Here is a 21,540-nt window from a genome sequence, read left to right as displayed (position 1 = left end):
TTTGCTGACTCTCTTTTCAGACTCAGCCCGCCTGCACCCAGGCGAAATAAACAGCCTTGTTGCTCACACAAAGCCTGTTTGGTGGTCTCTTCACACAGACGCCCATGAAATTTGGTGCAGTGACTGGGATCGGGGGACCTCCCTTGGGAGATCAATCCCCTGTCCTCCTGCTCTTTGCTCCGTGAAAAAGATCTACCTACGACCTCAGGTCCTCAGACCCACCAGCCCAAGGAACATCTCACCAATTTTAAATCGGGTAAGCGGCCTCTTCTTACTCTCTTCTCCAACCTCTCTCACTAACCGTCAACCATCTTCTCCTTTCAATTTTGGCACCACCCTTCAATCTCTCCCTTCTCTTAATTTCAATTCCTTTCATTTTCTGGTAGAGACAAAGGAGACACGTTTTATCCATGGACCCAAAACTCCAGCACTGCTCACGGACTCGGGAAGGCAGCCTTCCCTTGGTGTTTAATCACTGCAGGGACACCTCTCTGATTATTTACCCATGTTTCAGAGGTGTCTGACCATGCAGGGATGCCTGCCTTGGTCCTTCACCCTTAGCGGCAAGTCCCGCTTTTCTGGGGGAGGGGCAAGAACCACAACCCCTTCTCTCCATGTCAATACCCCTTCTCCGCTTTTCTGGGCAGTAAGAACCCCCCAACCCCTTCTCCTTCACCCTTAGTGGCAAGTACCACTTTTCTAGGGTGCAAGAACCCCCCAGTCCCTTATTTCCATGCCCTGACCCCTTATCTCTGCACCCTGATCCTTTTCCACGCCCTGACCTCTTATCTCTGTGCCCCATCCCTTATTTCCACGCCCCGACCTCTTATCTCTGCACCCTGATCCCTTATTTCCATGCCCCGACCTCTTATCTCTGCACCCCAACCCCTTATTTCCCCACCCTGACCCCTTTCCTCCTTTTCTGGAGGGTAAGAACCCCCAAACCCCTTTCCTCTGTGTCTCTACTCTCTCTTTTCTCTGGGCTTGCCTCCTTCACTATGAGCAACCTTCCACCCTCCATTCCTCCTTCTTCTCCCTTAGCCTGTGTTCTTAAAAACCTAAAACCTCTTCAACTCACACCTGACCTAAAACCTAAATGCCTTATTTTCTTCTATAATGCCACTTGACCCCAATATAAACTCGACAGTAGTTCCAAATAGCCAGAAAATGGCACTTTCCATTTTTCCATCCTACAAGATCTAAGTAATTCTTGTCACAAAATAGGCAAACGGTCTGAGGTGCCTGATGTCCAGGCATTCTTTTACACATCAGTCCCTCCATAGTCTCTGTTCCCAATGCAACTTGTCCCAAATCTTCCTTCTTTCCCTCCCACCTGTCCCCTCAGTCCCAACCCCAAGCGTCGTGAGTCTTTCTAATATTCCTTTTCTACAGACCCATCTGATCTCTCTCCTCTTTGCCAGGCCGAGCTAGGTCCCAATTCTTCCTCAGCCTCCACTCCTCCACCCTATAATCCTTTTATCACCTCCCCTCCTCACACCCGGTCCGGCTTACAGTTTTGTTCTGTGACTAGCCCTCCCCCACCTGCCCAGCAATTTACTCTTAAAAAGGTGGCTGGAGCTAAAGGCATAGTCAAGGTTAATGCTCCTTTTTCCTTATCCCAAATCAGATAGCGTTTAGGCTCTTTTTCATCAAATATAAAAATCCAGCCCAGTTCATGGCTCGTTTGGCAGCAACCCTGAGACGCTTTACAGCCCTAGACCCTAAAAGGTCAAAAGGCCGTCTTATGCTCAATATACATTTTATTATCCAATCTGCTCCCAACATTAAATAAAACTCCAAAAATTAAATTCCAGCCCTCCAACCCCACAACAGGACTTACTTAACCTCATCTTCAAGGTGTACAATAATAGAGTAGAGGCAGCCAAGTGGCAACATATTTCTGAGTTGCAATTCCTTGCCTCCACTGTGAGACAAACCCCAGCCACATCTCCAGCACACAAGAACTTCCAAATGCCTAAACCACAGTGGCCAGGCATTCCTCCAGAACTGCCTCCCCCAGGAGCTTGCTACAAGTGCCAGAAATCTGGCCACCAGGCCAAGGAATGCCCGCAGCCCAGGATTCCTCCTAAGCCATGTCCCATCTGTGTGGGACCCCACTGAAAAATCGGACTGTTCAACTCACCTGGCATCCACTCCCAGAGCCCCTGGAACTCTGGCCCAAGGCTTTCTGACTCCTTCCCAGATCTTCTCGGCTTAGCGGCTGAAGACTGACGCTGCCCGATCACCTCGGAAGCCCCCTAGGCCATCACGGATGCTGAGCTTCGGGTAACTCTCACAGTGGAAAGTAAGTCCGTCCCCTTCTTAATCAATAAGGAGGCTACCCACTCCACATTACCTTCTTTTCAAGGGCTGTTCCCTTGCCTCCATAACTGTTGTAGGTATTGACGGCCAGGCTTCTAAACCTCTTAAAACTCCCCAATTCTGGGGCCAACTTAGATAATACTCTTTTAAGCACTCCTTTTTAGTTATCTCCACCTGCCCAGTTCCCTTATTAGGCCGAGACACTTTAACTAAGTTATGGGCTTCCCTGACTATTCCTGGGCTACAGCCACACCTCATTGCTGCCTTTTCCCTCAGTTCAAAGCCTCCTTCATATCCTCCCCTTGTATCTCCCCACCTTAACCCACAAGTATAAGACACCTCTACTCCTTCCTTATCGACCAATCATGCACCCCTTACCATCCCATTAAAACCTAATCACTCTTACCCCCCTCCATGCCAATATCCCATCCCACAGCACGCTTTAAAAGGATTAGAGCCTGTTATCACTCGCCTGTTACATCATGGCTTTTTAAAGCCTATAAACTCTCATTACAATTCCCCCATTTTACCTGTCCTAAAACCAGACAAGACTTACAGGTTAGTTCAGGATCTGTGCCTTATCAACCAAATTGTTTTGCCTATCCACCCCATGGTGCTAAACTCATATACTCTCCTATCCTCAATACCTCCCTCTACAACGCATTATTCTGTTCTGGATCTTCATCCCAGCCTCTCTTCGCTTTCACTTGGACTGACCCTGACACCCATTAGGCTCAGCAAATTACCTGGGCTGTACTGCCGCAAGGCTTCACAGACAGTCCCCTTTACTTCAGTCAAGCCCAAATTTCATCCTCATCTGTTACCCATCTCGGCATAATTCTCATAAAAACACACGTGCTCTCCCTGCTGATCATGTCCGACTAATCTCCCAAACCTCAATCCCTTACAAAACAACAACTCCTTTCCTTCCTAGGCATGGTTAGTGTGGTCAGAATCCTTACACAAGAGCCAGGACCGCACCCGATAGCCTTTCTGTCCAAACAACTTGACCTTACTGTTTTAGCCTAGCCCTCATGTCTGCGTGCAGCAGCTGCTGCTGCTTTAATACTTTTAAAGGCCCTAAAAATCACAAACTATGCTCAACTCACTCTCTACATTTCTCGTAACTTCCAAAATCTTTTCTTCCTCCCACCTGACACATATACTTTCTGCTCCCTGGCTCCTTCAGCTGTACTCACTCTTTGTTGAGTCTCCCATAATTACCATTGTTCCTGGCCCGGACTTCAATCCAGCCTCCCACATTATTCCAGATACCACACCTGACCCTCATGACTGCATCTCTCTGATCCACCTGACGTTCACCCCATTTCCCCATATTTCCTTCTTTCCTGTTCCTCACCCTGATCACACTTAGTTTATTGATGGCAGTTCCACCAGGCCTAATCGCCACACACCAGCAAAGGCAGGCTATGCTATAGTACAGGCCACTAGCCTGCCTCTTAAAACCTCTCATTTCCTTTCCATCGTGGAAATCTATCCTCAAGGAAATAACTTCTCAGTGTTCCATCTGCTGTTCTACTACTTCTCAAGGATTATTCAGGCCCCCTCCCTTCCCTACACACATCAAGCTCGAGGATTTGCCCCCACCCAGGACTGGCAAATTAGCTTTAATCAGCATGTCCCCAGTCAGATAACTAAAATACCTCTTAGTCTGGGTAGACACTTTCACTGGATAGGTAGAGGCCTTTCCTACAGGGTCTGAGAAGGCCACTGCAGTCATTTCTTTCCTTCTGTCAGACATAATTCCTCAGTTTAGCCTTCCCACCTCTATACAGTCTGTTAACAGACCAGCCTTTATTAGTCAAATCAGCCAAGCAGTTTTTCAGGCTCTTGGTATTCGGTGAAACCTTTATATCCCTTACAGTCCTCAGTCTTCAGGAAAGGTAGAACGGACTAAAGGTCCTTTAAAAACACACCTCACCAGGCTCAGCCACCAACTTAAAAAGGACTGGACAATACTTTTACCACTTTCCCTTCTCAGAAGTCAGGCCTGTCCTCGGAATGCTACAGGGTACAGCCCATTTGAGCTCCTGTATGGACGCTCCTTTTTATTAAGCCCCAGTCTCAGTCCAGACACCAGACCAACTCGGACTGTGCCCCCAAAAACTTGTCATCCCTACTATCTTCTGTCTAGTCACACTCCTATTCACCGTTCTCAACTACTCATACATGCCCTGCTCTTGTTTACACTGCCAGTTTACACTGTTTCTCCAAGCCATCACAGCTGATACCTCCTCGTGCTATCCCCAAACTGCCACTCTTAACTCTTAAAGTAAATAAATAATCTTTGCTGGCAGGACTATGCTGAATCTCCTTAGGCACTCTCTAATTAGATGCCCTGGGTCCTCCCAATTCTTAGACCTTTAATACCTGTTTTTCTCCTTCTCTTATTCCATTTAGTTTTTGGGTTTTTTGTTTGTTTGTTTGTTTTTTTGAGACGGAGTCTCGCTGTCGCCCAGGCTGGAGTGCAGTGGCACGATCTCGGCTCACTGCAGGCTCCGCCCCCTGGGGTTTACGCCATTCTCCTGCCTCAGCCTCCCGAGTAGCTGGGACTTCAGGCGCCCGCCACCTCGCCCGGCTAATTTTTTGTATTTTTAGTAAAGAAGGGGTTTCACCGTGTTAGCCAGGATGGTCTCAATCTCCTGACCTCGTGATCCGCCCCCCTCGGCCTCCCGAAGTGCTGGGATTACAGGCGTGAGCCACCGCACCCGGCCCCATTTAGTTTTTCAATTCATACAAAACCATATCCAGGCCATCACCAATAATTCTAAATGACAAATGTTTCTTCTAACAACCCCACAATATCACCCCTTACCACAAAATCTTCCTTCAGCTTAATCTCTCCCACTCTAGGTTCCCACGCCGCCCCAATCCCGCTCGAGGCAGCCCTGAGAAACGTCGCCCATTATCTCTCCATCCCACCCCCAAAAATTTTCCCCAACATTTTACCACTATTTCATTTTATTTTTCTTATTAATATAAGAAGACAGGAATGTCAGGCCTCTGAGCCCAAGCTAAGCCATCATATCCCCTGTGACCTGCACGTACACATCCAGATGGCCGGTTCCTGCCTTAACTGATGACATTCCACCACAAAAGAAATGAAAATGGCCTGTTCCTGCCTTAACTGATGACATTATCTTGTGAAATTCCTTCTCCTGGCTCATCCTGGCTCAAAAGCTCCCCTACTGAACACCCTGTGACCCCCACTCCAGCCCACCAGAGAACAACCCCCCTTTGACTGTAATTTTCCTTTACCTACCCAAATCTTATAAAATGGCCCCACCCCTATCTCCCTTTGCTGACTCTCTTTTCAGACTCAGCCCGCCTGCACCCAGGTGAAATAAACAGCCTTGTTACTCACACAAAGCCTGTTTGGTGGTCTCTTCACATGGATGCGCATGAAACCCACTATTTTAACAGAATCTTTCCCTACTGACTTCATCTTTCAACATAAATGTAACTTGATCATTTTCTTCCAATAGTAGGTCCAGATTCATCATTACTGCTTTGACTTTGAAGACGTTGGATCAATTAACATAATCAACTGTTACCTGTTACATTCCAAGCCAGGTACTCAAATTAAAACCTCACTTTTAATGTTTGACACAATGTGGGCTGAGAAGCAGGGGTGCCAGAAGAATCAGTCCACCTGCTTCTTCTGACTCAGAAACAAGGAGATGGACTATGGCACCAAGGGCTTGCAATGCCTAATACACCAGCAAATGATTACTCGATAGTGGTTTAGAAACACTACATAATGAGCTTCGGTTATATTGCATTTATTAACCTAAACCCCTGAAGAATCAAAAGACTCTATTATGAGCTTCTGAGTGAAAAGTGAGATTCTAAGTCACTATGCTAAGTATGAGGTCCTATAAGCTTGAAATGTCATCAGTTACCAAAGAAATATTATATTCTATAGAGTATGTCCTTTTGCACTCAAATCCCTTGAGACATTTTATTTATATAAAGATTTGGTTTTAAAAAATGCTGATGCCTGGGTCCTCCCTGCCACAGATTGGGATTTAATTGGTCTTGGGTGAGACTAGGACATGCAGACTTTTCAGAACTGCCCAGGAGAGTCCAATGAGTCACCACTGGTCTAGAAACAAAAATGACATGGACTGTGGCCACAGTCATTGTCCCCTTACTGCTCAGCTAGGACAACTCAGCACTTTGCTGTAGCCTCCCTGCTGTTCAGTCTCTGGGTTTGTGAAACAGAAAGTGTTAACTGGGTCAGCTCTTTGCAGAGCTTTTGCAGGGCAGACAAATGGAGTCAGAGTGCAAGCATTAAATGAAATGTCACTGTAAACTAGGAAGAATTTGAACCCAAAGCTGCCGCCAGGCAAACAGGGGTCTTTTGACAGCTGTTGGTGTCACCTGAACTTGCAGTCATTTTGAGAGGGATTTGTTTGGCCTATGGATACTTATCCTGCAGTTGACTGGATTTTATTTATTTATTTTCTTTCTTTCTTTTTTTCTTTTTGAGGACATTAAAGTAGTATGCCTCCCTTCCATCAATGCTCCAGTTGCAGCCAATATGTCCATTGAAACTAACTTAACTCGCTGGAACTACTCTCTAAATAAATTCACCATTTTGGTTCAAAGTGCTACAAACAAATTCAGTGCTTTCATTCCCCGTACATGGATCCGACTTTAACTGCACAAGGACAGAAGGAGAAGCACATATTATGAGGTGGCAGTGGACATGTGGGAATTTGAAAGAAAGTGCTTCAGACTATTTTTAAACTGAAATGTATCCCACTGGGACCGCAATTGCCCAGTGCCGACTATTCATAAATCAGGGTGAACACAAAGAGGCTTCACATTTTGTGGGTCTGGCCGAAGAGAAAGATCTGGGAAAGGAAGGAGAATCACAGATTTAGTTGAGTGAGAATGCATCAGAGCCCATCTGACTTTTCTCTGTGTTTTGTGTTTTTTTTCTTTTCCCCCCTCATTCTTGAAAAGATTTTTCTGTCTTGGAGAAAATGCATTAAACATAATGCTGATAGTACCTTTGGTAAAATATTCCAAATGTTATAAAAGTCTGTTGGACCTTATTAAATAAGTCTATATTACACTTATTTTTAATATTGTGGTGCACACTCAGTATTTGTTCTGATCATTCCCAGCAGAGATTTATTACTAAAGTAGATCTGACTTGAGGTTGAGTGGAAAGGAAGGCAGTCAGTGCAGGAGGAATATTGAGTAACTTGGTGGTGTGAGAGAGTTTGGCTGCAGCAGAGAAAAAGGGAGCTTGTGAGATGTGCATGCCAATTAAGGTGCTCAAGAAATGAACATGTATTCATTTCGAGTACACGCTAGCCCCTTCCTCTTCATATGTCCCTAGGGATGCTTCTGGAATTGCCAGAGCTGAAAATTAAATTATAAACCTAAAACATGACATTGAAAATGTAATGTCTCCTTTGATAATATCAGTGTGATGATTCATCAGTGGGTGGGGCAGTGCCACTCCTGGACACAGATTGTAAAGCATGGTAAGGCTGATCCTGGCAATTCTTCCGTCTCTCACTGTGCAGTTTTCCCAAAGGTTCTGGTCAGAAAGGCATCCCTGCACAGATCACATATGCACCAAAGCCCTCCTATACATACCGCAGAGTAGACAGCTGCAGAGACTTAACTGCAACATGTGGCACCAGCCAAGAGAAGCTGATAATATTGCATCACCAATAATCAGAAAAAGGAACTGTTAGTGCAACTCAACATGCTAGTGTCAGAGTAAATGGCAGAAAAGTTGTAAGTTGGCATTTCAAAATGTGAGATTTGACATTGTCATGCTGGACAGACATACCATCCACATTTTCTAAGTAGAGTCTGTTTCTGAGCTGTGCTTTCCATTTTTCTCATTAGAACAGGAAACAAGCCACTAAAAAGAGCAAATTCCCTGGTAGTTGCATCTATGAGTCAGAGCACAAAACTGCAGAGCCCTTTGTTTATTTCCCTATTCATAGGAGTCATAGAATCCATGTGCTATGTATGCTGAGTCACTCATCAAGAGAATAATAACAACAATAACAACCCATTAAGGGCTATAAAAATTCAGAGGGCAGGAAGCTTCACCAAAGACGTGAACCACAGGTCACACCCTGTGGGATGAATAGATTTGCAATAGGCAGAGAGGTATTCCACAAGAAAAAAATAGACATAGGAAGATCCGTGATATTTTTGCAATTGTGAGAGCTTTCAGAGGTTTGGCATATAAAATAAAGGCCTGAGAGGAATAGGACTGGTGTAAGACAGAAGGCAGAAACGGGGCCTGTGGCAAACTGAAATGTGAATAGACTGGCACTTGATTCAAAATTCTAAAGAAATCCATAGGCCAAATAAAACCTATCTAGGGGCCGAATATGTCCTATGTACATTAATTTTGTGGCCTCTGATTTAGGGGACATAAAGGAGGTCAACTCTGAGTGGTGGGATGGGGAATAAAACTCGCCCTGTGGAATGACAGGTCAAGTTTGCACTGAGTGAATAGCACATGTAAAGGAAAGTAAGGTGTTCTTTTTTTTCCCCCACTTGTTTCACAGGATTTTCTTCCCCTTCCTATTCCTTGAGTACCTGCACTGTCATGTGAACTTCTTATTTCTCTTCCTTGTACATTTTTTTCTCAGATGATCATACCAAGTCCCATGAAATTATTAGCTGTCAACTGCTAAATCTTTATCCAGCTCAAGCCTCTCTCCAGAATTTCAAGACTGGACAGCCACAGCCTATTAGACATCTGCACATGGAGAGCCTACAGGATACCTCCAATTCAAAAGGTTGACAGTTACCTATCCCATCTAACCCACAAACCAGGCCATCCTCTGTCTCAAGCCCTGGGGATTGATGGTAACATCTTGTCAGTTGCCATAACCAGAAACTTCAGGGATGTCCTTGACTTTTCTTTTTTTGCTTAGCCTGCTTACCCCATCAGTTGCAAGAAAGTATTGTTTCTATCTTCCAAACGTACTCAGCTTTGCAAATAAAGTTACCATTGGCAGGGATAAAACACACACTCAGTTGAACACACACACACACACACACACACACACAGAACTCACATCTACTTAGAGTCTCTGATTTATTTAGTCCATGATAGAGAACAAACAATGGTATCATGGTCCACACAGAGAAGGGGCAGATGCAGCATAATCTCTTCTCTATTTTTTCCTTGCCTGGGATCCGTATGAAGTGCTCTGTAGCTGGTGCTACCCTTTGCATAGGCAGGAATCTAACAAATTTTAAAAAAAAATCCAAATTTTTGTTGCAACACTACATTTTTTATACTTAGGTTTATGTCCAACATTCCAGAAGAACCTGAACTAACAATCTATGTACTTCCACTTAAGGGGTTATTTGCAAGCGTTGACCTTTCCTGGCTCTTTAAGTAAACTCAGCATCAGAAAGGCAATATTCTCTTTCCAAGAGAAAAAAGCAGTCAATGCCCAGGAGTCTCAGAACAGTATATCTGCCTCCACTTTTAAGGTATCCTAAAAAGCCAACAATCAGGGGCCAGGTGCGGTGGCTCATGCCTGTAATCCCAGCACTTTGGAAGCCCGAGGCGGGTGGATCACCTAAGATCAGGAGTTTGAGAACAGCCTGACCAACATGGAGAAACCCCGTCTCTACTAAAAAATACAAAAAAAAAAAAAAAAAAAAAATTAGCCGGACATGGTGACGCATCCCTGTAATGCCAGCTACTTGGGAGGCTGAGGCAGGAGAATCGCTTGAACCTGGGAGGCGGAGATTGCTGTGAGCAGAGATTGCACCATTGCACTCCAGCCTGGGCAACAAGAGTGAAGCTCTGCCTTAAAACAAACAAACAAACAAAAAAGCCAACACTCTTTTTATCTCAATAACATTTCTCAAACAATCTCTGCTATCCTAGTTCAGGCCACCAGGCTCCCTTGCTTAGATGAAGACACAACCTCTAACTGACCATCTTTCCTCTCTCCACAAGCTGAAACCAGCACTGTCTCCCTGAAATGTCTTCATGACTGTCTCTCTCTGCCACTCTAGCTCATCCAACCTACACTTCTTTGACATCCTTGGAACAACAAAATGTAGTCACCTCTGGGCCTTTGCACATGCCATGACTCTTGCCTGAACACTGTCTTGCCTCTTTGATTGTCCAACCTCCTCCCCATCCCTCAAATGTATGCAGGAATGCCACAATTTCTGGGATGCCATTCCGGACATAAATCTGGGTTAGAGGTCTCTCCAAAACCATCCAATATTATCCCTTTTGTAGTGTTTTTTATAAGGTACCTAGTTACATATCTGTTATATCTTACCATTTTAAAACTGCCAGGTTCTGTGAGGTTAGAAACCATGTTTACCTTTTTTTATTGTTGTGTCCCACAAATTGCAGTTGCCTTTTAGGAACCCCTGAAATATTTTTGAATCAATTTGAGGGAAGTGGGAAAAATAAGGCCGTGTTTTAAAAACTCAAAACTATCCATGTTATGGAAAACATGCCAGAGGAAAGAATTAGGGAAGGAGGCGATTGAAATGCTCAAGCAATTGTCCAGTGTTGAAATATTGGAAGCTGCCCATGGAATGAGAAACTTGAAACTGAGATAAATGAAGCAGGAATAATAGGTGTGATGTGGTAAACATCAATATAAAGGATCAAGAAAAAAGAGGCTTGGAAGACTTTATCTAAAATGCAAGGCTGTGATACCATTCCCCAAAGCTGAGAAATGAAAAACGGAAACAAATTTTGAGGGAAAGACAATTAAATTTCCCACTTGGATATGTAAAGATAAAATATTCCAAGGCCCAGTAGCAAAGTGGATGTGAAGCTTATAATATGGTTTGGCTGTGTCCCCACTCAAATCTCATCTTGAATTGTAGCTCCCATAATCCCCATGTGTGATGGGAGGGACCTGGTGGGAGGTAATTGAATCATGGGGGTAAGTTTTTCCCATGCTGTTCTCATGATAGTGAATAAGTCTCATGAGATTTGATGGTTTTATGAAGGGCAGTTCCTCTGTACAGGTGCTCTTCCCTGCCGCCATGTAAGATGTGCCTTTGCTCCTCCTTTGCCTTCTACCATGATTGTGAGGCCTCCCAGCCATGTGGAACTGTAAGTCCATTAAACCTCTTTTTCCTTATAAATTACCCAGTCTCAGGTATGTCTTTATTAGCAGTGTGAGAATGGACCAATACAGCTTAGATAGACTACAGAAAGGAAGCCTTAAACTTCAGCCTCACTAGCATTAGGAGCATTTGTTATCAGGCCAGTTAGTGTTTACAGTCTACTGCAGCTATCAGAGTCTTTCTTTCCTGTGCGGAATTCATTCCATCAGGTTTAGGAGGCACTCACTGTAAGCTATCTCCAAGCACAGGATAAACCTACATCCAAGATGTGGCCAGCTACAGCCGTAAAATGGTAGATATAGGTATCATCAGCATGTGTCCCATGCCAGGCCAGCCTGAATATCTACCTGGAGAATATTCTGCTGAAAACAGCAAAATAAACCCCAACCATATATATAAACAAGGGACTCTTTCCAGTGATGTTACCAAATGAGAAAATGTGAGAGTGGGGGTAATCAGCAGACATCTTCAAAGAGATCGCTCCAAAGAATAAAGCCAATATATGAGAATGAGAATCTTGTGAGAGATGATAAGTGTGAGGGCAGATGCTTTCTTAGATTACTGGTGATGTCTGCCAAAACATTACCCTTTCAAGTAAGCTAATTTGAACTGGGATACTATTGTTTGTAAATGAAAAAGTTTTCAGAAGCAGAAATAGTGGCCACTGAAGTCATATGAATAAGAGTGTTCTAAAGAAAGTGCTATGGAGAAGAAGAGTATAGGATTAGGGTGAAACTCTGGGGAATTTCCACTGAGAAAGAGCAGGAGAAGGAAGGTAATTCAAAGAAAGTTAAATATAAAGTTGAACACAGAATTGACAATAGATAATTACTGGGAGGATAACAGTTGGGCAAACATGAAGATAGTTGCCAAATGGCTAAAGTTATCAAAAAATATAGACATATTCCTAGAAGGGTAGTAAGCATCAATGATGAAAATCCAAAACATTGACTCTCTGACATAGACTCCAAATTATTGCCCATAAAGTGACGAAAATGGATTAATTTTATCCAGCATTTATATGGATTAAATCTACTCTTAAACTCATTTCTGAAATATGTATGGATTTACATGCCATAAAATGCACACTTAAAAAAAGTGTTTGTATCCTATGACACTACCTTAGAGCAGTTTTTCCAATCTATTTTTTTTTTTTTTGACTTGTAAAATTGTCTGACTAGCAACTCTCTTACAGTGTGTTGGCATCAGTTGACAGTTGTTAGATAGTATCTTTCATTCCTGTCTAAAAATAGGAAAATAATGTATGAGTTATGTTCATCTTTGGGAAAGAAATGTATGGTGGATAGAGAGTCAGACACACTCTATGAACAAGCTGGAAAAAAGTTCTGAGTTTGAAAATGTCAGAATTTTTGCAAGTCATGGGAAACAAATCAAGAGGAAAGAAAAATTTCTGTTGCACCAAAGTATTATTAGGGTCGGAGAGCAAGTGATCGCCACTTCTGCTGGTAGTAGGGTTAAAGTGACAATAACTGTAACGATAACTACTAGCACTTATTAAAAGAAAGATAATGTCCAGATCTAATAAATACACAATTGTAAGAAATAAACCCAATACCTATATATGGTAGAGCTTTTACAAATGGAGAAAATGAGACTCAGTCTGTGTTCTAGAATTTGATCAAGATCACACTAGCGGTACCCATCAGCACTGGGATATGGACAAAGTTGAACTCCAGAGTCTTCATTCATTACTCTTTTCACATATGCCTCCCATATAAAACAACAAGGATTCAAGTTATCCAGCAAAAAGATAACATTGAAAAGTTGTAGATTCTCTTTTTCTAAGGATATTTTTTAAAAAAGAAAAAACAATACAACCAAAGACTAGAAGGCATTGTGTTATTCTTAGTTGAGTTATGAAAAGAAGTCCTACCTGGAAGTGGGAAAATAAATGGAAAGCAATCTTCTCAAGGTACATTTCAGCCTTCAAGATACTGACCACAGAAACTCTTGAACTTTACTAACATCTACAAGGTATTCTTTGTAGGTAAATTAAAGTGCTGAGGTTTTCAAACTAGAACCTTTTAATTATTATTTAGGTATAGTGGAAAAATGGCTATTTTAAGACAAAGGCATAGAAAGAAATATTTACAATTTCCAAAGTATTCCCACAATTATTATATAAGTTAATTGAATCATTGCAGGTAATACTCTAGCTTACTAGTGGTTCATGAGTTTTCAGCTCATTAACACTGTTTAAATGTACATTATGCCAAATTATACAGAGCAAAAGTTATTGCCCACATTATTTTAAAGATCATAGGAGCAAGAATTAGTTTATGGAGTACCAAAACCAAACCTAGCCTAAAATGTGTATGTGTGTTGATTTTTGTTTACATGCTTTTTAAAGCACATCAAATAGCCGGTAGGATTTATCTCTTTGCTTTAACTGATTGAGAGAACTGATGCAAGCATACTTTCAAAAATTCAATCTTCCCCCAATTTTTTCTTCGACCTTGACCTAGACAGCCAGCCTGACGTACAGAGAAAGAATTCAATCTTGGCCCCCTCTCGAGAGACTTGAACTGCTAACTGGAAAGAAGCACTTTTTGAGGAATAAGAGGGCTGGCTGAACTCTCTGGCCCACTGGGTCTTGGTTAGCACAGAAACAAGTCAGTTCTACTTACCTGAGCAATATCATTTAGATAGTGACACCTTTCTTTGTTAGTGTTCCAGGTTGAGAGTTTGTGCAAAAAGGTGATGACCATAAGGGAGGGCATAGAATCAGTGCTGACAGCCCAGTACACATCCCTACAGTCGAAACGTTTTCCTACAGTGGTGGTTGGTAGAGAGGTATTGTAGGCAGGAATGCTTCTGGAGAGTCAGGAATGATTGTGAGATGGAGGTGAATGGATGAGAACAGGAATTAGATCAGCAGGGCTGGGAGCTGGTGGTGAACATTATATGTTCAATCAATACTGTTAACTACAGTTCCTGTATCATTAAGAAAGATTTAAAGGTATGGATTCTTAAAAGGCTTAGAAAGTGAATTTCATAGATCCTTCCCAGCCTTTGACTAAGGATTTAAAGATATTTTTGTTTTGTTTACTTATTTTTTTGGGACGTGATGAAACACATTGGTTTAAAACACAGGTCTTGAATACAGCCCCTTAGGTTTGAAGCCTATCTCCGGCTCTTTCCATGTTTTCAACCTGGATGACTTATTTAATCTCTCTCTGACTCAGTTTCCTAATATAAGTAAACAAGGGAGTGATAGTATCCACCTCGCAAAGCTGTTGTGAGCATTAACTGAGTTAATGCAAGCAAAATGCTTAGATTGGCTCCTGACACAAACTACTCAACAAATGTTCGCCATTATTCTTTTCTTTTTCTTTTTTTTTTTTTTTTGAGACGGAGTCTCGCTCTGTCGCCCAGGCTGGAGTGCAGTGGCGCGATCTCCGCTCACTGCAAGCTCCGCCTCCCAGGTTCACGCCATTCCCCTGCCTCAGCCTGCTGAGTAGCTGGGACTACAGGCGCCCGCCACCGCGCCCGACTAATTTTTTGTATTTTTAGTAGAGATAGCGTTTCACCGTGTTAGCCAGGATGGTCTCCATCTCTTGACCTCGTGATCCGCCCACCTCGGCCTCCCAAAGTGCTGGGATTACAGGTGTGAGCCACCGCGCCCGCCTGTTCGCCATTATTCCTTTGTCATTGTTATTATTGTTGTTTGTTTAATATACCTAAAAACCATGTAGTAATCCTGATGAAACACAGAATGCAGAGCAGAGTCCCAGGCACATACACATGCAAAAGCAGAATTCACGTCCAACTCTAGACTCCTAAGCCCCAGGAGAATGTCTTGTATATCACATTGCTCTTCACCCTAACTCCGGGGTCCAAAAAAAAAGACAAGCTTGTACAAACTGCCTGGGAACTTGGCCGACCTTCATTATTCAAAGTGGCATCTATTTCACAGGTTGGATTAGGGCTGGGTCTGACCAGGGATCAGACCACTGCTCACTTTTGTCAGGTGCATTAGCTCTCAGACCACTAGGATGCTATTTAGTGCAGGATTAGTCATTTACTAATTACTAATTACTCCAGTGGCCACAGACCGAAGGTCAGCAATTTTCTTCTTTCACACCAGGAGGATCCAGCATAATAGAGGCCAGACAGGTGATTTGCATACTCAAGAGAAGAAGCCACAATAGAAGAAGGCAGAGGAGGATTCTGTGTTGAAAGCAAGCAAAGATGGGCACAATTTGACCGAGCTTCCGTAAACTTCTCATGGGAACACCTGGCTCATTTCTCCTGCTGGGAGATGGCAGGTTCTTGCATTTGATACTTGAATGGGCCAGCTGGGGTAACTGGACAAGGTCTGACTCTGGGCCCCCATCACTTTTGCTGGCTGGCAATTCTTTTCCACCCTGAGCATCTGTAGAGTCATCCAACTGTGTTTGCAAAACTTGGTTGTATGTGAGAAGTGTGTTTGTTTTATGATCAGTGTCTTGGGTTTTAAATAAGAATACTGCAAGAGATGATCCCACTATGATCCTTGTTAATGTACCTCTAGGCTAATAAGTACGGAGATGATCCTGCTCTTTGATTTCATGAATAAGAAAATAAAATGGGAAATGCATGACATTTAAAAAAATTATTGTTATTACTGAGTGTAAAATTTATTTTAACCCTGTCTGTAGTGGCTAAGTTTCAAGTTGAATGTACTGCTTGCCAGATTGTATCTCCTGTTCCTCCTCTCCTTAAATATGTGCTTATTTACTTCCTGCAGAGTTCAATTTTAGAACCCATCAAAGTAGATCCACTCAGACTCTGACTACATTTTCATGCATAAATTCATAGATGTCTTCAGAAGGAATTGCACTTGCATATGCAAATACCTTCTGATGCTTTTTATTTCTACTTTTGGCCTGCACAGTTTTTAATTCATGCAAACACATTACACAAACAAATATGGGCTCAATAACAACATGCGGCATGTGTGAATTGTTAATTGCAAAGCTATGAGTTTGATATGGCCAAGCAACCTCCATTATTATCAATGGAGGGGAACAAGACTAAACAGGAAGAATAAAGGTATATTTGAAAATAAAATCCCAGTCCTTGGTTTTATTTTATGTAAATATTAATAAAGGAAAAGGTGACAGGCCTATCTACAATTCAACAATCATCTGGAATCTACATGTCAGTGCACAATGATCCAGAAGCCAGGATGCACTTTTAATAAAACTTAGGAAGAAAAGTGAACATTTCAGCACAGAATTATGAGACACAAAAACGTATGCAGGAACAACGTAAATGAGACAAAAACTACAGCAGAAAATGAAAGGCTTTGAACCACGTTGAACGTGCATCACCTTTCAAAATATCTGAGTCTCGTGTTAGTGCAGCTCTGGGAAACAACAGAGAGGTGTCCCAATTTTATTATATTGGAAATGTAAGCTCTCTCTCAGTTAATTAAGCCATGATTCTTCATATTTTTTTTCCAATTGCCACTACCTGAAATTTGGGGAATGGTGAGGACTTAACAAAGCAAAAACACTTGTTGAAGTTACAGATCAAAGGCATTTGATCCAGAGCAATTTTCAAGCAGCCTCTGCCCCCATTTTCTCATGGAGGAGGATCAGCATGTGTTTCATTTACATGAAGATAACTCAGAAAATAAGAAGGAAGATTAAATAAAAATTGTATCCTGCAAGAGTTATAATGGCAATGGAAACACAATTCTAACAGTTTCTCTGTTGATTTATTTTTTCAATCCTATGTTAAATATAAAAGCTGAAGCTAGGGTAAACCAGGAGTGTATAAAAAGATGTTATCTACAACAACCTCTGGATTGTAGATTTATAAACCGTGGGCATAGTGCTAATTAATAACATATATACACACATGCACATTTTGTAATAAAAAGTAGTAAAAAGTAGTTTAAGGAAGCTGAGAAACCAGGACTAGAATTCCAAGCTAAGTTATTTCATTAGAAATTAAACCCATTGCAACATTTACTCCCAAGGACATGGAACAAGAAATAAAGAATCAGTGTTATAAAACAAATGAGGCAATAACCTAGCAGAGCAGGGCTTAGCCCTTTGGCACTGGCAGAGTGACCCTTCCCGAGGCATTCGGTACAGTTTTGTGCGTTTGCCTGTAATTTTGCTGAGCCATCAATGTAAAGTGCACACACAGCGAGGCTGGGACTAGTAAGACATGGAGCTAGAGAGTGAGCTTTGTCACACCACCTCTCAGCACTGCTTTGCTTTATTCTACGTGTTGATGCATTTACAGCAACCCTGGAGAAGTGATAACAGAACTCTTTATAAATATTGGACATGAAGAGAGTGCCAACTGTTAGTGCTTGGGAGAAAAATATTCTCCTCCCAAAAGAAATCAAAACAGTATAAGGAAAGGAAAATTAAGACTTGGGGAAAGTAGGAGGGATAATTACATCAGTGGAATTGGAAAATAACATACATGTGGCCACCCATGCTCTGAAACACAAAAAGAGAAACGTATAACTCAGAATTAACATCATATTTTAGTAGAGGGAAAAGGGCGTATTATTATACACTATTTCAAAGATGTTTTAACCAAGATACACCATTTGTTCAAGGAGAATCTAAGTGAGAAACCCAATGGGAAAAGGAATAGAAATTTGAGGCTTGTAAGTGGACTATGAGGAGAATAGTTTTGAGAAACCACAGATAATCTTAGGTTTCTCAGGATAGAGATTCACCATGTTGTTAGGAATGTCCTTTATGGAACCAAGGGTCTGCTGTAGGGTACATCTGTCAAAAACCACCATGCTGGATCTCCAAAAGCAGCCATCAACCATGTAAATCAAGTAAGTTAGACAGTTGAGAGCAAATCAGCAGGGGAAACCCTACAAACCTTGTCTAGGAAACTCATCTGACTCCCGGTGGATGAGGTCTGTGACTCGGTTTCCATAGTGCATCCTGCTGTCATGGTCATAGGCCTTCAGAGTCTCACTGGAGCTGTAGGATTTCTGTGTGGGCACGCGGCAGTCCTCACTGTCCAGAGAGGAGCTTGTGTAGCGACACTCTTTGCCACAGCGTCCTCTGGTCAAAGAGCGGTGTCGCCGGTCCTTTACATCCATTATTCCAGATATGGCAGAATGCTGATGTTTTCAGAAAAGTCAGGCCTGAGTTTTGGCACTTGTCACTTTGCCACCTGAAAACATAGAAGAAAAAACCCAAGACTGTGATTACAAGAAATGCTGCCTTCAGTTCTGATTCATGCTCTGACTCAGACGAAAACATGAACATGCAGCCTTGGTCAGCCCTGCACAATCTCTTTTGCAAAAGTTTAATGTTAACTAAACAATCAGCCTAAATAGAAGAACTCGATACAGTAAATTAATTTTCTTGCTGTTTAATTTAATAGATTTGGAAAAAAATAGTAACAACAAATACTCATCTTTAGATTTTTTGTATGCACAGATGACATGATCAGTCTGTCACTCTAATGCAAGATCTTACTGTGAAGCAATTCAAAGCCAAATTGATCTTATCCTTCTTTAATTACATTCTCTCTATGCTATAGAAGGCTTGGGTAGAAAACAAATACCACCCCCCCTCCAAAAGAAAAAATAAACAAAAGGCAAAGAAAGGTGCAGCAGCAGATTTGAGCATAAGGCATAAATATGTGCTATTAATACTTTGTAGTGATACCAAGTCACATTCAACTAACATAACATTTCCTAGCTTTGTCTGGAGAATAAGAATAAAAGTTGTTCTCGACATGCAAACAATCTTTCTCCAATTTCTTCAACGAGCTTTTGGCAAACTCCCAGTTTTTTCTCCCTTGCAGATCTGTGTCTTGGACACACCTGGTTACTTCTTCTGCCTAGTCACCCACCAACATGATAACTGCTGACAGGCAGTCTTACTGGTACAGCCACCTGATAATCACCCCAAGCCATTCTGTCACCTTCATTGCTGGGATACCCACTATAGAACCGAAAAAAAAAATGAGGAAAGCTGAAGGGAAGGAACCTCTCTAACATATGAACTGGCAACCAGGGAGCCCCACAGTCTGGCATTTGACACCCTCAGACTGGAAGTGTATGCCAAACATCACTCAGAAAACACTCGCCTTCTGCTTAGCAAATATGACCAAAATGCTTAGGCGCCTCCAAGTTCCAAATCATAGGCTCTTATTGATTTCATTTGCCATGCAAAATAGCATAGACCACAGGGCCAGGACCTGGACAGAATGGACAAATACGAATTTTAATTAAAATGGAAAATGCAACCCAGAGCCAGGGCAATGATTTTTCTCCAGGCTACTGTTGCTCACTGCCTCCTCAATATGTCAGGAAATACTTGGGGAGCAGATCTATAGTTTTGAACCCCTCTGCTCTTCCTTGGCTATTTTACCACACTATAATAAGATAGCTATGCACAGCAATGTGGATGACATTTGCCTGCAGACACCAGAAGCCAAGTAGCCCCTCCCTTGTTTTTTCACACCAGGAGTTCTTCTAGATCTCAGGGACCCCCTCCCCCAATCTATACTACGTGTACACTGTATCAAATATTGCCTGTAATTGTGGACAATTTTGTTTGACACTTGGCAATGAAAAAGAGGGTACGATTGGCTGGGCGCGGTGGCTCATGTCTGTAACTTTGGGAGGCCGAGGCGGGTGGATTGAGGTTAGGAGTTCAAGACCAGGTTGGCCAACATAGTGAAACCCCGTCTCTACTGAAAATACAAAAAAAAAATTCGCTGGGCCTGGTGGCGGGCACCTATAATCACAGCTACTTGGGAGGCTGAGGCAGGAGAATTGCTGGAACCCAGGAGGCAGAGGTTGCAGTGAGCTGAGATCTGCCATTGCACTCCAGCCTGGACAACAAGTGTGAAACTCCATCTCAAAAAAAAAAGAAAAAGAGGGTACAAATATTATGATCTTCAAGCACAGTCTTGGTGCTGCCTCAGTTGCTCATAAGAAAGCACAAGCAGTAGCTAGCTTGCTGGACTCTGGAGTCTCTCACTCAGCAAGTTCAGAAGTGCCTTTGAGAGTCATGACCCCAGGACCTGCTTAGAGGACATTAAGTAGTGTTTTTGCATGTCAGTTTTTGCTGTGGCATAGTCAGTTCAAGTGTCTCCACATTAAGGCAATTACTAGATGCCCAAATCCCCTTCCCTAACTTCTAACATGCAGTTTCAACATTTTGGAATCTGTAGGTTATTTAAGAGCATGGCCATTGAAGTCTTAATTGGATGCCAGTCCTACCATGACCACTGGTGAGGCAGAGTCCTTGTCAAAATTATTCCTGGTCTTTTGAACTCAGTTTCTCAATCAGCTGAAATAGAAAATAATAGTATCTACTTCACAGAGTTTTTGTAGAAAATAATAGCATCTACTCCACAGAGTTTTTGTAAAAATTAAAATATACATGGTGGTAAAATTCCTAATATACTATCTAACACATCATAGGGGCTCAATTAAAATTAGTTTTTATTCTCCTCTGAATGATTTTAAAAATGTTTTTTTCTTAGCTAAGGAGTTACAGACTTGCATAAGACAGAGGAGGAAGATGACGATATAAATCCCTGAAACTCACAGTTCTAATAATAAATCCTAATTCTTAAGCTAGGCTCCAATAAAGGAAGACTTTCAGCATCTACTGAAAGAATATAAGACTGTGTACCAACACTGAGGAGCCACAGGTGGTTTTATGGGGAGTTGAGTATTTTGAGTCACTTTGATGATTTTCTTCTCTCTTGCTTCACTGTTAGTTTTTAATTTCAATATCTTCAGTGTTCCTGACTCATGAAATCCTATCTTCTCTAATTTGCATTGTGCTTGGGAAAGTAGACTGACTTTCTGCATATGTGTATGTATGCGTGTGTATGCTTTTATTTTAGTTTTTAAATCATGCTCAGAGTGGAAGCTTAAAGGCTTATAACTTTTTTTTTTTTTTTTTTTTTGAGATGGAGTTTTGCTCTTGTTGCCCAGGTTGGAGTGCAGAGGCGTGATCTCCGCTCACTGCATCCTCTGCCTCCCGGATTCAAGCGATTCTCCTGCCTCTGCCTCCCAAGTAGCTGGGATTACAGGTACCCACCACCACACTTGGCTAATTTCTTGTATTT

General features: G+C 42.2%; 1 protein-coding gene and 1 long non-coding RNA gene across 10 annotated transcripts in view, besides 3 other annotated features; one reads left to right on the top strand and one right to left on the bottom strand.

Moving 5' to 3' along the window:
- Positions 1-21,540, bottom strand: part of TENM2 (teneurin transmembrane protein 2) — a 1,285,129-nt gene that overhangs the window by 960,779 nt on the left and 302,810 nt on the right. For all 9 annotated transcript variants that reach the window (XM_047417418.1, NM_001395460.1, XM_017009661.2 and 6 more), the window contains one exon: positions 18,316-18,615. In XM_047417418.1, the coding sequence (XP_047273374.1) occupies positions 18,316-18,541 (226 nt within the window). In that variant the 5' untranslated portion in view covers positions 18,542-18,615. The remainder of the gene's footprint in view (positions 1-18,315; positions 18,616-21,540) is intronic.
- Positions 7-6,967, top strand: TENM2-AS2 (TENM2 antisense RNA 2). The gene is made up of 3 exons (NR_199036.1): positions 7-256; positions 5,829-5,916; positions 6,836-6,967. It is a non-coding gene; the product is annotated as a TENM2 antisense RNA 2 (long non-coding RNA).
- Positions 5,020-5,725: an enhancer, noted in NCBI's record as "OCT4-NANOG-H3K4me1 hESC enhancer chr5:166724659-166725364 (GRCh37/hg19 assembly coordinates)". NCBI's record gives its function as "activates a minimal SCP1, AML or CMV promoter by ChIP-STARR-seq in primed H9 embryonic stem cells {active_cell/tissue: H9 hESC(primed)}" and the evidence as "EXISTENCE:reporter gene assay evidence [ECO:0000049][PMID:30033119]".
- Positions 7,526-8,725: an enhancer, noted in NCBI's record as "P300/CBP strongly-dependent group 1 enhancer chr5:166721659-166722858 (GRCh37/hg19 assembly coordinates)". NCBI's record gives its function as "activates an origin of replication core promoter dependent on BRD2, BRD4, P300/CBP, MED14 and CDK7 cofactors, with strong dependence on P300/CBP, by STARR-seq in HCT116 cells {active_cell/tissue: HCT116}" and the evidence as "EXISTENCE:reporter gene assay evidence [ECO:0000049][PMID:35650434]".
- Positions 7,686-8,501: an enhancer, noted in NCBI's record as "OCT4-NANOG-H3K27ac-H3K4me1 hESC enhancer chr5:166721883-166722698 (GRCh37/hg19 assembly coordinates)". NCBI's record gives its function as "activates a minimal SCP1, AML or CMV promoter by ChIP-STARR-seq in primed H9 embryonic stem cells {active_cell/tissue: H9 hESC(primed)}" and the evidence as "EXISTENCE:reporter gene assay evidence [ECO:0000049][PMID:30033119]".

Source organism: Homo sapiens, chromosome 5 (genome assembly GCF_000001405.40).
Source record: "Homo sapiens chromosome 5, GRCh38.p14 Primary Assembly".
NCBI classification, from domain to species: Eukaryota; Metazoa; Chordata; class Mammalia; order Primates; family Hominidae; genus Homo; species Homo sapiens.
This window is presented reverse-complemented; position numbering and strand designations above follow the sequence as displayed.